Source organism: Homo sapiens, chromosome 9 (assembly GCF_000001405.40).
Source record: "Homo sapiens chromosome 9, GRCh38.p14 Primary Assembly".
Lineage (NCBI taxonomy): Eukaryota > Metazoa > Chordata > Mammalia > Primates > Hominidae > Homo > Homo sapiens.
Genome location: NC_000009.12, coordinates 122795337 through 122811527, shown reverse-complemented (window position 1 = coordinate 122811527; position 16191 = coordinate 122795337). Strand labels below are relative to the sequence as shown.

Genomic DNA, 16191 nt, shown 5'->3' with positions numbered 1-16191 from the left:
GTCATACTGTGACATGTCTTCCTACAGGTGATGGCAACACTGGTTAAGAAAATGGGGGCTCAAAACCTGGGTCCATCCAACACTAGCCTTGCCTCCATTTTCCCACCTGTACAAGGGGGATAACAGTAGTTGGGATAAGAGGTCAATGGGGCCGGGCACGGTGGCTCATGTCTGTAATCCCAGCACTTTGGGAGGCTGAGGCGGGCGGATCACCTGAGGTCAGGAGTTCCAGATCAGCTTGACCAAAATGGTGAAACCCCCTCTTTACTGAATACAAAAAATTAGCTGATCATGGTGGCGCACGCCTGTAATCCCAGCTACTTGGGGGGCTGAGGCAAGAGAATCGCTTGAACCTGGGAGGCAGAGGTTGCAGTGAGCTGAGATTGCACCACTGCACTCCAGCCTGGGCAACAGAGTGAGATTCCATCTCAGAAAAAAGGAGGTCAATGGGTTAATACTCAGAACGCACTTTGCACCTTGCTTAACACATAGAAATGTCTCAATAAATTATCTATTGTTGTCATCATGCTATTATTTTAATTCAACTTAAAGAAATATTTAAAGTTTTTCCGAAGTGTGAGATGGGAAATCCTGGTGACTTGAATAGCTCTGTCTCTCTTTTCTGTAGGGTAACTCTGTCTTCAGCGTGTGTGGTAGCCAAAGTTGAACTGGATTTGTTTACAGACCAGACTAGTATTTCCTTGGGGACAGGGACTGTGTCCTGTCATCTCTGATCTCTGATCTGAGCTGGCATCAGTTAATATATGCTCCTTCAGTGGGGAAAATCCCCAAGGCAACATGAGTAGGCTGGAATTCACCACAATAGGGCAGAAGATCATCTCTTATATCATGTTTCCATAAATGTTACATATTTTTAATTAGACGTCTACTACCTATGCTCACTGAGAACCAGGTAACAAACAAGATCAAGTTAAATCCTCAGCCTTGCCAAAGAGGTTGTTACCTCCTGGTTACTTTGCAGAAATGCGGGTTATAATGCAAAATGGCCACGCGGTGGCAGCAGAGGAGAAGGAATGAATTGTTTTGCTCCCATTATGGACGCTGTGCTACAGACTGCAGAGTAGGGGCCTGAGGGAGATACGTAGCACCATGTAAGAATAATGTTAGAGAATTTGTTTTTAGGAATGAGAACGGGAAAATGTTAAATACACACACTTTAAATAATGAGTAACAAAGCAAACAAAATGGTATTTGATGAAGACAACATATATACACTTGACTTTCAGATCATGGTCAACTAAGGGGGAGAAAAAAACAGACAGAAGAGAACAGGAAGGCAGGCGGCACCCACCAGCCCCAAGATGCTGCAAGGTGGGTGACTCGAGGAGACATAGCTTCTTAGTTAAGAGTACAATCTTTGTTTCAAATCCCAATCCCACCATTTGTTTCCAGTGACTTACTACCTGTGTCCCCTAGACCTGTCATAGTGAGAGTAAGGAAGCACTTTGTTTTTCAGTCTGTTGTTTTGTTTTGTTTTGTTTTTTGAAACAGGGTCTTGCTCTGTTGCCAAGACTGGAATGCAGTGGTGCAGCCATAGATCACTGCAGCCTCAAATTCCTGGTATTGTGGGATCTGGCCAGCAGCCTGCAGTGCAACGGGGCTCTCTCTTTGTTCCCAGGTGGATCGGCAGGTTGAGAAATGATAGACACACACAAGATAGTGAAAGCTGAGTCCAGGGGGGGTCACCGCCTTCTGGTCCCGTGGTGCCAACAATGCACTGGATATACCAGCATTTATTATTAAGTTTAGTGACAGCGGGGGTGGGTTAGTGAGGGATTTAGGGTCATTTGATTATGAGGTGAGATGGTCACATGGGGATGAAGTAATAACATTTGTATGTAGAAGTACAGTACATTTGTACGTAGAAGTACGGTATACAGAGATAAGAATTTACAATATAGTGCATGCATCAGTAATTTCTAACAGAGCCTTAAAACAGAAACACAATCTTTCCGTAACCTATGATTAGCAAGCTATTAATCAGTAGTAACAATTGCAACAAAAGCTGGTTACAAACAATCCATAGAAACAGGACGTGAAGCTAGAGAACCGGTTAGACCAGAAATTCTCAGAAGGGAGTATGCCCTAACCCTAAAGAGGCCTGGAAGAGCTGTGGCAAGATGAGGGCATTTATAGCCCTATCTTATCCATATGGACAGGCGCCCCCCCATGCATCCGTTTATAGGCTTTCCACAAGGGTTCCATTCCATTCCCAGAGCTATGAACATCTACTTTTCTGGGATAGGAATCTTGGTGATGTGAAACCTCCCTGACTGCACGTCCATTCATAGGTTCTCTGCAGGGGGAAGCACATCACGCGCTGTTGGCTCGTTCTGGCAGTCCAACCTGGCATTGTCTTTACACAATCCAGCATGCAATTTTGTATTTACAATAATCAGGAGCATTTCATCTTTTATTCTGTAGCAATAGTTTCAGGGGGTCTCCCTACATCCTGGGCTAAAGCAATCCTTCCACCTGGGACTCCCAAAGTACTGAGATTACAGGTGAGAGCCACCATGCCTGGCTTCTAAGCAGTTTATATTTATTTCTTAGATAATTCTCACCACTTCAGAGCTATATTATTTTCCTCATTTTTTAGTTAAATGATTTGCCCAAGGTCAACCAGTTAGTACATAGTAAAGTTAGAACTTAAACCTAGGAACTCAGAGCTCAGAACTCAGAATTTTACCACTGTCTGGGAAGCCTTACCCATGAACAGGCAATAATAATGTTTATCAAAAGAGGCTCTTGGAAACAGTTGAAGGGTGCCTGCCCCATAGTTGGTGTTATGGACTGAACCGTCCCCAACCTAGCCCAAATTCCCAAACCCCCAAAGTGACTGTATTTGGAGATAGGGCCACTGAAGGAGGTAACTAAGGTTAAATGAGTCATAAGGGTGGGGACCAAATCCAGTAAGACCACTGTCTTTAAAAGAAGAGACACCAGAGCTCCCTTGCTCTCTGCATGTGCACAGAGCAGATACATGCTAGGATGCAGCTAGAAGGCAGCTGTCTACAAGTTAGGAAGAGATCCCTCACCAGAAACCAACCCTTATGGCACCATGGTGTTGGTGGACCTCCAGCCTCAAGAACTGTGACAAGATATATTTCTATCATTACTCAGTTTGTGGTATTTTTTTAGGGCAGCTGAGCAGACTACTGTAGTTGGTGGTCAGGAAATGCAGCTCTTACTCTGTGGCTTTGTCTTTGATGTAGCTCTCCCTCTACTCCCAAGGCCTCAGTTCCTTGTCATCATCTTGGTACGCCAAAGAGTTCTCTACCTGCCTGGAAGCACCTCCAGCCCATCCAGCCTTTCCTTATCCCATTTCCTTTTTAAAAAACAATTTTGGCTGGGTGCGGCGGCTCATGCCTGTAATCCCAGCATTTTGGGAGGCCAAGGCCGGTGGATCACCTGAGGTCAGGAGTTTGAGATCAGACTGACCAACATGGTGAAACTCTGTCTCTACTAAAAATACAAACAATTTAGCTGGGCGTGGTGGTGGGCACCTGTAATCCCAGCTACTTGAGAGGCTGAGGCAGGAGAATCACTTGAACCCGGGAGGCGGAAGTTGCAGTGAGCCGAGGTTGCGCCATTGCACTCCAGCCTGGGCAACAAGAGTGAAACTCCATCTCAAAAAAAAAAAAAAAAATGCATTTCCCATGAGCATGTCACATGATTCTCATGCATGATGAGTGGTCTGGAATCAGAACAGGGGAGGGGAGGGCTTTTGCTATCTCTCATTTCTGCCCAGAGCCAGATCTGTGCTCAAATATTAGTTCCACTGATTTTTATCTTGGAGCCTTGGGCAAGTTGCCTCATTGAGTCACAATTTTCTCATCTGTAAAATGGAGACAATAATGTGTGCCACAATGGATTGTTATGAGTATTAAATTGTTATGAGTACAAGGAATGTAAAGCCACTGGCACCACATCTGGCCTGTGCTGAGTTAACTTCCTACCATGTCATTATGGTTTCCAAGGTCTGTGGTGATGTGATTTCGTGATGTGTGTGGGATGGTCTTGGTCATGGTTTCTCCACAACCTGCCAGTTGTTCTGTGGTCCTTGGAGAGAAAATGAAGTAGGTGGTGGTGTCTGTGTGGGTGAAGTTGAGCTCTTTGCCAAACAAATGGTGATTTGATTTGTTTTACTCATGTCATCCTTCCAGTAACCAATGCCTTTCCAGTTTCATTTTTCCTTCTCACCAGAGACTAGCTGAAAATGTTCCAGTCTAAATTGAATCTGTGTGTGGGTTCAATGACAGCCTCCAAAGAAGGCAACCAGGAGAGGAAACAGTGTCTATAGTGAGGACATGGATGTGATCCTGAGATTGAAAAAGGGGAGCTGGGGCCCTTATTCCAGGAGTTCCTAGGCCAGTGGAAAAACCTGACTTTTACCCTCAAAGAATCCCTGGTAGATTGGTCTAGTCTTGCGGGCGGAGACATACTTACATATAAATCCCCAAAAGCAAACAGAGAAAGCAAGTATATGTTGATGGATCAATCAGCCCTCAGGACACTGAAGGGGCTAGCCAGACTGCATCGGTGAAAAAGGCAAATATCAGAAATAGTTATGGGAGCTGCGTCAGTTTGCTATGACGGTGTAACAAACCATCTCAATACTCAGTGGTTTAAAACATGAGTCATTCATTATCACTCATGTGTCAATGGGACAGCTGGGGCTTGGCTGATCTTGGCTGGTCTTTGCTCGTACATCTGCAGGTCAGCTGAGGGTTCTGCTTAGATCACCTTGGCTACAGCAGCCCTGCCCCAGGTGTCTCTCTTCCCTGTCTTGGGACCAGGGGACTAGGTGGACATGTCCTTCTCATGGCAATGAGAGAAACACAAGCGAACAAGCCCAATATCACAGATAGTTTTTTTTTTTTTTGAGTTGGAGTCTCACTCTGTTGCCCAGGCTGGAGTGCAGTGGTGCAATCTCAGCTCACTGCACCTTCCGACTCCTGGGCTCAAGTGATTCTCCTGCCTCAGCCTCCCGAGTAGCTGGGGTTACAGGTGCCCACCACCATGCCTGGCTAATTTTTGTATTTTTAGTAGAGACAGGGTTTCACCATGTTGACCAGGATGGTCTCGAACTCCTGACCTCAGGTCATCTGCCTGCCTTGGCTTCCTAAAGTGCTGGGATTACAGGCAAGAGCCACCTCGCCCAGCCAGTATCACAAATACCTTTCAAGTTTTGCTAAAATCATGCTTCCTAATATCTTACTGGCCAAAGCAAGTTGCGTGGCTGAGACCCCAGTCGTGGTTGGAGGGCAAAGTTACATGGCTCAAAGGTATGGCATCAGGGATGGCTGAGGAACCAGCACAATTGATGTAACCTACCACACTCTGTGAGTTTTCCTTAACTCTCCTCTCCCTTCCAACCCAAGTCATGCTTCCTCTATAGCAGTGGTCCCCAACCTTTTTGGCACTAGGGAAGACAATTTTTCCATGGACAGAGGTGGGGAATGGTTTTGGGCTGAAACTGTTCCCCTCAGATCATCAGGCATTAGATTCTCATAAGGAGCAGGCAACCTAGATCCCTCGCCTGTGCAGTTCACAGTAGGGTTTGCACTCCTATGAGAATCTAATGCTGCCGCTGAGCTGACAGGAGCTCAGGTGGTAGTGCTCACTTGCCCGCCGCTTACCTCCTGCTGTGTGGTCTGGCTACTAACAGGCCATGGACTGGTACCTGTCTGTGGCCTGTGGCTTGGAGACCCCTGCTCCACAGCATGTTGTATCTCTCTTCTGGCTTTGATCATGAACTGTGTTCCTGTATTGCACGTGAGGACAAGGACTTTATTTATAGTCTTAGTGCCTAGTATGGGGGCTGGCACCAGTAAATAATAGTAGATGAGCGAGAGAGCAGAGAACAAAAAGGGAAGGAGGTGGGAAAATATGTGACAAAAAAAGGAGAAAGCAGTACAGGTATGTAAAGGTAAAGGATGTGGAGGAAGCGGGACAGAAGAGCTGTGGATAGAGTGAGTTGGAGGAAGCATCAATGATTCAGAGTGAGCTGAACTGCTTGCTTTGTCAGCTTCTTGGACTATCAATGCTTTTCCAGGATTTGATTTTATTTTGTTATTGTATTTTATTATTTAAGATGGAGTTTCACTCTTGTCACCCAGGCTGGAGTGCAATGGCACCATCTCGACTCACTGCAACCTCTGCTTCCTGGGTTCAAGCGATTCTCCTGCCTCAGCATCCCGAGTGAGTAGCTGAGATCACAGGCACATGCCACCACGCCCAGCTAATTTTTGTATTTTTAGTAGAGATGGGGTTTCGCCCTGTTGGCCAGGCTGGTCTTGAACTCCTGACCTCAGGTGATCCACCCGCCTTGGCCTCCCAAAGTGCTGGGATAACAGGCATGAGCCACTGCACCCGGCCCATTGCTAGTATTTTAAAGCAGTCATTTTTGCATCAAGAAAAAGTCTTTATGTTTTTATTTTGCATCCCTAATGGCTGCATTTTCCCTGTGGAAGCCCTTGCATGAAAGAAGACTTAGGTTCTAGAAATTTTCTTTGTACCCTTAGAAGGAGTAATCAATTTACCATTTGTGATGTGAGCTTTTTTTACTACTAAAATCTCCCCAATTGCTATACCTTTGAAATGAAGGCTGCCTTACTTTACAATGCACAAAGATTACATGACAAATGAGGCTGTAGAGGCAGACTCTGAAATTCTTTTCTTGCAGTGCAATTATTTATTTTTTCTGGCGGAGGTGGTTCACTACACATTATTCTGAATAAACTGAAGGGTTGAAAATATCGGTGCTGGGAGGGTGAGATGAATTGATTCTGAAATGGCCAGAAGTCACTTGAGGATAAACTCAGGGAATGTGGCGGGTGAGAAGAGGTAGATTTCCTCGTGTGGCTCAAAGACCTTGCAAAGAGGGGGTGCAAAAATCCCTGGAGCTGAAGCAGCCTCACTGGAATAAGCCTAAGCTCTTCCAAGGGGACTGCCGGGAAGGGAGTCGGTCATTTGGATATACTTGTTTTATTTAAGGTGTTAAAAATCGGTCTCTTTATATTTCATGTGAAAAAGATCCAGGGAAAACTACTTCAGTGGATTTATGAAGTCTTTTTTTTTTTTTTTTCTTTTGAGACGGAGTCTCTCTTTGTCACCCAGGCTGGAGTCCAGTGGCACAATCTCGGCTTACCGCAACCTTTGCCTCCCGGGTTCAAGCAATTCTTCTGCCTCAGCCTCCCGAGTAGCTGGGATTACAGGCATGCACCACCACGCCCTGCTAATTTTTGTATTTTTAGTAGAGATGGGCTTTCACCATATTGGCCAGGCTGGTCTCGAACTCCTGACCTCGTGATCCGCCCACCTCGGCCTCCCAAACTGCTGGGATTACAGGCGTGAGCCACTGTGTCCAGCCTTATGAAGTCTTTAGTGGCCTCTCTGGGGACAGAGAAAGGATGGATTCCTCATCTTGTCTCCAGATCACTTCATCTTCTAGGGCTAACCAAAGTAAAACAAGAGGTCAGGTCTAGTTGGGGTGGGGTGGGGTGGGACGGTGGTCCAGGGAGCCACATGCCTGGAGACTGGGCTATTGACGCTCCCACCATTCCCTTCTCCTTGTTTTCCCCAGGTTGTCTGGAGATAGATTAAGCATGTAACCCAGTGCCTGGCACAGAGCAAGTGATCAATACACATTAATTAACATTGATTTATGGTGTAGTGAAAAGAGAATGATACCGAGGACAGGAGAATTACAACTTAAATTGGCCGGCAGAAGGAACAAGGACAGGTCTCCTCACTTCTTTGAGAATCAGTTTCCTGATATCCAAAATGGGGGTTTGGCACTGGGCTATTGTGGGACCCGGAAGAGCTTGTGCTTCTGGTCGTGGTGATTCTGTAGAAGGCACTGACCATGCTGAGGCAGAGGTAGCTTGCTGGTCTGAGTCCAGGGACAGAAGCTACCCTGTCGGCAGTGGGGACCAGTGAGAGTTAGCTGCCCCTTCAGTGATGCGGCCTGTTCTTGGGTTGAAATCTGAGCAGAATGGCTGGGGCAGGGCTGGTGGCCTGGAAAACAGGAGCACTAACAACCCCCTGACTCTTCCGTGCCCCTTTCCCCTTCCTGATGCGGATGACTCACCTGGAAGATCATGAGACGCACAAGGCCACAGCACGTCACAGGCATGTTCTCTGTGCTAGGTTCAAGGGACCCAGAGATGCCTCACGCAAGGACCCTGATGGTCAGCAGCTGACTCCAAGCCATAGGGCAGGGCTGGTGGTGCAGGTGTTTCCAGGCACAAGTGAATGTGCATCATGGCCGGTATGTTTTTGAAGCTTTAGAGAAGGCAGAGCGGAGGAAGTCGATCATGGGGCCAGGGGACAAGTTATTGACAGAGTAGCAAGGATCTGGCATCACAGCACAAACAAATAACCTGGGCGTGGGAGGGAGGAAGGGAGGCTGGGAAAGGATGGTCTCTATGTCATGGCAGGGCCAGGCTTTGGGGCACTGGCAGGTTGAACAAGGAAGCCCGAAGTTTGCCACTGACTTTGTGTGATCTTGAGCAGGTCCCTTAACCACTCTGGGCCTCAGTTTCCCCATTTATCAAGTGAAGGTGTTCGGTTTGATCAAAGACCTTTCAAAGTGGGGGTGGGGAGAAGCATCGACGGTGGATTCTGGGCCTCCTTTCACCCTCCCTCATCCACACTGCATGGCTTCTCCCCCACCCTGTTTTACAGATTGTGTTTCTATGTAAATAACGTGTTTTTGTTGTTGTTTTCTGTTTGTTTTGGTTTTTTTTTTTTTTTTTTTTTTTTTGATTAAAGCTACCAGTCTAAAGACCTTTAAGGTCCTTTTTGATCTAAACAGCATAGTGTAGCAGCTCTGGGACTGGGCGGTGGCAGCTCACCTGTGTGATCTGGAAGGGGCTATTGCTAACCTGGCTCTAGGATCGCTGTAGCTCTCTCTCCTTCTCTCTGGAGCAGCGGAATGGGGGTAGGAGTGGAGTTGGGACTAGGGGATGGGGAAGTGGGTGCAGATTTCTTAGAGAAACAGAGACCTAAAAGCTCCTGCCTCACATACCTGTTTGGTAAAAACTTGGGCACCATGAGGCCTTTTCAGACCCCAAAATGTGTCCTTACTTGAGGCAGCGAACCTGCCCTGGTCTGAGACTTCTTCCTGCAAGTGCTTCCACTGAGACACCAAAACCTGGCGTGTGGATTCTATGGGGCCCATTAAAACACACCTGCATGACCCATGTGGCATAAGGGCTTGTTCTGGCTCTGACACTGACTAGGTTACCAGCTTTGAGCCTCAGTTTCCTCATTCATAAAGTGGCAATAAGAGTACCCATACTTTTTGTGGGTAAAAATAAGTGAAGTGCTGGCATACGATAAAGACTTATCCAATGCTTGCTCCATCTGCCCCTAACACCTATGCCTCCTCCTTCTCAGCTTTGCTTTGTTTATTCATGACTGTGCGTGTCCACAACGTGCTCCTTCTACAGAATGCCAGGTGGGGCAGAACAGGTGCCATGATAGCAAACAAGGGAAAGAACAAAGAATTAGAAGAACGGACTTCTTCTAAATGCATGTTAGTATGAACACAGAGTCATTTATTCATATTAGATGTGCAGAGGGCCTCCTGTGTGCCACACTGAGCTCATTAGGAGGGGCTGGCCCTTCACACATGAGTGTGTGAATTTCTCTATTCCAGTCCCAGTTGAGAAGTCAATTTATTTGAGAACACATGGCCATATGACTGAAGAGAAAGTGCTCATCCACACAAGGCATGTTCTGCGGATGTCACACCCTCCTGGATTGCCCTCGGTCTGTAGGAAATGGTGGAATGCATTCTAAATGCCTAAGAGTGATCATCAGAAGAGCATGATGTGGCAGAAGGGGTGCAGGTTTTGCTTTCTAAGAACTGTGTGAATTTGAGAAAGTCACTTCTTTTTTTTTTGAGATGGAGTCTTGCTCTGTTGCCCAGGCTGGAGCTCAGTGGCACAATCTTAGCTCACTTCAATCTTCATCTTTTGGGTTCAAGTGATTCTCTTGCCTCAGTCTCCCGAGTAGATGGGATTACAGTTGTGCGCCGCCATGCTTGGCTAATTTTGGTATTTGTAATAGAGACAGGGTTTCGCCATGTTGGCCAGGCTGATCTTGAACTCTCGACCTCAGGTGATCCACCACCTCGGCTTCTCAAAGTGCTGGGATTACAGGCGTGAGCCGCTGTGCCTGGCTGGAAAGTCACTTCTTATCTTTGAGCCTAAAGACAAATTTTCTTGTGTGTAAAACCGGATCATAATATCTGCATCCTGGGTGGCTGTGGGAATAAAATGAGATCAGGCAAGGATCTGCTTCCGGGCAGGTGCTCAGGAAATGACAGCTGTTATGATTTTTGAGCATAGCAGAGGACAGAGGGTCACGTTCAACAGTTGCCAGTGTGGGTGATGCAGTCTGTCCTCAGTGGGGTCCTGCCCTCAGGAGTCACTAGCTGAGATCCTTCGCCCAATGAGAAGGGCTCGGAGTGCCCCCTGTACATCGCGATTCCAGAGGCTGTAGATGATGGGGTTCAGCATGGGGGTGACTACAGTGTACATGACAGTGGCCACACGGCCCCACTCTGCCTCGCGTCGGGATGTGGCCTGGAAGTAGACTGCAATGACTGTCCCATAGAAGAGGCTCACCACAGCCAGGTGGGAGCCACAGGTGGACACAGCCCGGAGCCTCCCAGAGGCTGAGGGCAGCTGGAGCACGGCAGCTGCGATGGCCCCATAGGAGGCGAGGATGAGCAGGAAGGGAGTGACCACCACTGCGGCGCCCTCGGTGAAGATGAGCAGCTGGATGTGGTGGGTGTCAGAGCACGAGAGCCTTAAGAGAGGCTGGTGGTCACAGAAGAAGTGGGGCACTTGGTGGGAAGCACAGAAGGACAAGCGAGCCATGAGCAGGATATACAGGAGGGAGTGGACGTGGGACACCAGCCATGCCATTCCCACCAGGGCTGCGCACATGGCCCGGGACATCCTCGTGGCATAGGGGAGGGGGTGCCGGATGGCCACGTAGCAGTCATAGGCCATGGCCGCCAGAAGACAGCTATCAGTTACCCCCAGGGCAAAGAAGAAGTACATTTGGGTCAGGCAGCCAGCCAGCGAGATGGAGTGGTCATGGGCCAACAAGTTGGCCAACATCTTGGGCACAGTGACGGAGGCGAAGCAGAGGTCAGCAAAGGACAGGTGGGCCAGCAGGAAGTACATGGGTGCATGAAGGGCTGGACTGGCCTGGATGGCAGCCACAATGAGTCCATTACCCAGGAGGCTGGCCACATACAAGAGCAAGAACAGCACAAAGAGAGGCCGCTGCTGTCCAGGACTTGTTGTCAGTCCCAATAAAACGAATGAGATTCCCTCTGAAGACTCATTGGCAGCCTCCATGGCAGGCTGGTTATTCGCCTGGAACCTGAAGGGCTCCTTTCTATTGATGGGTCACCTCCCCGATGTCTAACGGAAAAGGTGAGGGGATAAATTGTTCAAGGCTTCCTGGCCATGGGAAAATATCAAGAGTTTAGAGTCAGGTAGCCCTGGCCCTAGGCACAGGTATGACTATGGGCAAGTCATTTCACCTCCCTGAACCTTCTTCCTTTCTGGGCCTTAGATTTTCTTTTCTTTTTTTTTTTTTTTTTTTGAGATGGAGTCTTGCTCTGTCGCCCAGGCTGGAGTGCAGTGGCACGATCTCAGCTCACTGCAAGCTCCACCTCCTGGGTTCACGCCATTCTCCTGCCTCAGCCTCCCGAGTAGCTGGGACTACAGGCGCCCGCCATCACGCCCGGCTAATTTTTTTTGTATTTTTTAGTAGAGACGGGGTTTCACCGTGTTAGCCAGGATGTTCTCGATCTCCTGACCTTGTGGGGCCTTAGACTTTCAACCTGCGAAATAAGAGAATTGAAGTAACTCATCTGCAAGGTCACGTCCAACTTTGATAGTTTGTGATTTAAGCAAAAATAGAACAAAAGATATTGCACAAGATGTAGATCAGGGAAGGAGGAAAATATGAAAGAAAAGATGAAACAGAGTGAGGTTCGACACAGAAAGATCTGGCCAATGGACATTTATTTTGGAAAAGAAAAAATGAAACCAAACCAAGATGGAGGAGAGAAACATAAGAAAGAAACTCTAGAAAAAAAATCTGAAGAGCACATATGTTTACATTGAAATGAATATGAACTCACAACACCTAGACACAAATAGTGGAATTTTAGAACACTGGAAATGAAGAGGAGACTCCAGTACTTCCTAAGGGCATGGGGTGCAATGAACTGATGATATCCATGTAATTAGATTGCCATCAAATGTTTCAATTCAACAGTAGATTATAGAACAGTTTAACAATATTCAAATTCTGAAAAAAAGCATTTCGAACTTGGAATTCTTCACTCAGCAAAAATACTACTCAAGTGTGAGTAAAGAATACAGATATTTTCAGACTTAAAACACAAAACAAGGCCGGGTGCAGTGGCTCGTGCCTGTAATCCCAGCACTTTGGGAGGCCAAGGTAGGAGGATCACCTGAGGTCAGGAGTTTGAGACCAGCCTGGCCAATGTGGTGAAACCCCATCTCTACTAAAAAAAAAAATACAAAAATTAGCCAGGTGTGGTGTCACGTGCCTGTAATCCCAGCTACTTGGGAGGCTGGGGCAGGAGAATATCTTGAACCCAGGAGGCAGAGGTTGCAGTGAGCCAAGATCGTGCCACTGCACTCCAGCCTGGGTGGCACAGTGAGACTCCATCTCACACACACACAAAAAAAGAACAAGAGAATCTGAATGACTCCTCATATCCCTGAAAACTTTCCCCATGAAATCAAACACTTACTGAGCACCAAGCAGATGCACATCACAGGGTGAGAAACTCCTGTGGACAGATGGACACATCTGCCCAGGCATAGCGACTTGACTCTTAAGGAGAGAGGCAACTTGTTTTCAATGTCTCAGTTTTTTTCCTGTCTGAATTTCATTGCAGAAATCTTGGGCAATTCTGTAAGAAGAGAATTGAAGTAACTGAGAGGAATTTTAGGGCACAGGTTTGCTGAAGACTGTGCTGAAACCACCTTTACAGGGAAATGATCTTTTAATTTATTTCCACATCTTTCTCTATTAAAAAAAAATCAATGAAGGACCTCCCTACCCTATCGTATTCCTTTTTTCCTCCATTGGTTAAGAAGAATCTCTGGCGTTAGCTTCCTCTAAAGCATCTTTTCTTAAGCCCCTAATTCTTTCTCACTTTCCTGGAGGGGAAGAGGATCAGGATGATTGGGTAGGATGGAAGGGGAAACCTGTTTATAGAATTGCTTTTGGAAAATGGACCTGCTCTGACCTGTGTCTAAATTGGTCCCAAGAAGCGTTCAAATATACAAAGATGTTTGTAGAAACATTCAAATGTAGTTGGAAACGCACATGCAGGCACGCAGACATGTGCATCCTCAAGCTGGTCTCTGCAAATACATAGGCACAATCAGTCATATACAGAAATGTGGAGCCAGCACATGCATTCACAGCAAAGTAGGCAGACAACCATTACCTCAGGATTCAGAAGCCAAGATCGTCATACACATACACACATGGCCAAATGCAATCACAAAATGGCACTAAGGCCAGAGGGTGACAATCATTCACATACTCCTCTTGATGGAGACATAGCGCCATGCACAGCTGCTGTGACCCATCATGCACATTCATGTTCTCATTGACTGCTTACTGTGTGTGAGCACTCTGCCCAGTGCCCATCCATGCATGCCCAGCCACACCCAATCCCCTCAGTGATCATACAATCACATCTTTGCACACAGCCTCACACCTTCACATACACGGCTGCACTCACGTAGGTTCATGGTGGATCATGGCAGAGATGTGCCATGCTAGAGGGGCATATGCACATACACACTGCCTCCTACCCCCTACAATGAAACGATTGTGCAGTGCTGGTAATAATCACAGCCTCGCAAACAGCACATACTCTTATACTCACACATATGACTCATGCACACAGTCACACACAGGAAGACAGATCTGCACACTCTGCAGCCTGGCCCCTTGTCCCCAGGTGTACCCTCTGGGTTCTGCACATCATAGGAACAGCAGCAGGGCCCAGGAGTGGCTTGACACTGGAGGGTCTGAGGAAGGAATGATTGGCCATGCTTATGGGGTTTACAGCCCTGAGAGCACCTTAGCTTTTCCCCAGAGGCAACAACCTCTTCTTGTGGCCTTCATCCCTGGGGCACAAGGCAGCCTGGCTGTGGGGCTTGTTATCCTTCCTCTCTAGGGACCAGTTTGATGGAGGAGGTGACTGGTGCCACCTCCAACTCGGGACATTCAGGAGCCCTGTGTACTGCAAAGCTGCTGCTCCTCAGCCCCTGCCTTGTGAAGATAAGAGAGAAGGGTCAGGCTGACCTCTGAGCCCCAAGTAGAGTGACCTGGGGATCCCAGGGTTTACAGCTGTAGCTTCTGGAGCCAACCCTCCTCTCAGCTCACCTGTCACTGTCACCTCATGGTGGCTTCTTGTAGGATGTGTGGAGTATGGGAGGAATTGTGCCCCTGGTGACTGTGGCAATCACAACTATTATCAACAATCTCAATTTGTAGAGCTGTGTTTGTGGGAGTGATTGTGTCTCTGTGCAACTCCATTTGTCCATGAGCTTGGATGTGTGTCTCAGTGTGCAGCTGCATCTGTGTCTGTGTGGGTGGCTGGACCTATGAGAGTGTTTTTTTTAACAAGGAATGTTTCTTTTTTTAAAAAATTTTACTTTAAGTTCTGGGATATATGTGCAGAATGTGCAGGTTTGTTACGCAGGTATATATGTGCCACGGCGGTTTGCTGCACCTCTCAACCTGTCATCTACATTAGATATTTCTCCTAATGCTATCCCTCTCCTACCCCCCAACCCCTGACAGGCCCTGGTGTGTGATGTTCCCCTCCCTGTGTCCATGTGTTCTCATTGTTCAACTCCCACTTATGAGTGAGAACATGTGGTGTTTAGTTTTCTGTTCTTGAGTTAGTTTGCTGAGAATGATGGCTTCCAACTTCATCCATGTCCCTGCACAGGACATGAACTCATCCTTTTTTATGGCTGCATACTATTCCATGGCGTATATATGCCACATTTTCTTTATCCAGTCTATCATTGATGGGCATTTGGGTTGGTTCCAAGTCTTTGCTATTGTAAATAGTGCTGCAATAAACATATTTGTGCATGTGTCTTTATAGTAGAATGATTTATAATCCTTTGGGTATATACCCAGTAATGGGATTGCTGGGTCAAATGGTATTTCTGGTTCTAGATCCTTGAGGAATCGCCACACCGATTTCCACAATGGTTGAATTAATTTACATTCCCTCCAACAGTGTAAAAGTGTTCCTATTTCTCCACAGCCTCGCCAGCACCTGTTGTTTCCTGACTTTTTTTTTTTTTTTTTGAGATGGAGTCTCACTCTGTCACCCAGGCTGGAGTGCAGTGGCATGATCTTGGCTCACTGCAACCTCCACCTCCCGGGTTCAAGCAATTCTCTGCCTCAGCCTCCCGAGTAGCTGGGATTACAGGCCCCCACCACTATGCCTGGCTAATTTTTGTATTTTTAGTAGAGATGGGGTTTCACCATCTTGGCCAGGCTGGTCTTGAACTCCTGACCTCATGATCCACCCACCTTGCCTCCCAAAGTCAGGGATTACAGGCATGAGCCACCATGCCCAGCCGTTTCCTGACTTTTTAATGATCGCCATTCTAACTGGTGTGAGATGGTGTCTCATTGTGGTTTTGATTTGCATTTCTGTAATGACGAGTGATAATGAGCATTTTTTCATATGTTTGTTGGCTGCATAAATTTCTTCTTTTGAGAAGTGTCTGTTCATATCCTTTGCCCAGTTTTTGATGGGGTTGTTTGTTTTTTTCTTGTAAATTTGTTTAATTTCCTTGTAGATTCTGGATATTAGCCCTTTGTCAGATGGGTAGATTGCAAAAATTTTCTCCCATTTTGTAGGCTGCCTGTTCACTCTGATGATAGTTTCTTTTACTGTGCAGAAGCTCTTTAGTTTGATTAGATCCCATTTCTCAATTTTGACTTTTGTTGCAATTGCTTTTGGTGTTTTAATAATGAAGTCTTTGCCCATGCCTATGTCCTGAATGGTATTGCCTAGGTTTTCTTCTAGGGTTTTTATGGTTTTGGGTTTTA

The 16191-nt window shown here is 46.9% G+C and overlaps 1 protein-coding gene across 1 annotated transcript, besides 2 other annotated features; it reads right to left on the bottom strand.

Annotated features, from left to right (window-relative positions):
* Positions 948–1117: a silencer, noted in NCBI's record as "silent region_20242". NCBI's record gives its function as "represses an Ori minimal core promoter by ATAC-STARR-seq in GM12878 lymphoblastoid cells {active_cell/tissue: GM12878}" and the evidence as "EXISTENCE:reporter gene assay evidence [ECO:0000049][PMID:35858748]".
* Positions 7398–8597: an enhancer, noted in NCBI's record as "MED14-independent group 3 enhancer chr9:125565210-125566409 (GRCh37/hg19 assembly coordinates)". NCBI's record gives its function as "activates an origin of replication core promoter dependent on BRD2, BRD4, P300/CBP and CDK7 cofactors, and independent of MED14, by STARR-seq in HCT116 cells {active_cell/tissue: HCT116}" and the evidence as "EXISTENCE:reporter gene assay evidence [ECO:0000049][PMID:35650434]".
* On the bottom strand, positions 10455–11405 carry OR1K1 (olfactory receptor family 1 subfamily K member 1). Its single transcript, NM_080859.1, has one exon. It carries the CDS (start codon positions 11403–11405, stop codon positions 10455–10457), a length of 951 nt encoding a protein of 316 aa, NP_543135.1.
* Positions 11406–16191: the final 4786 nt, after the last annotated feature.

What these genes read in the sequence shown, in the direction of transcription:
- OR1K1 (NM_080859.1), bottom strand. Translation starts at nt 11,405, where the DNA reads ATGGAGGCTGCCAATGAGTCTTCAGAGGGAATCTCATTCGTTTTATTG.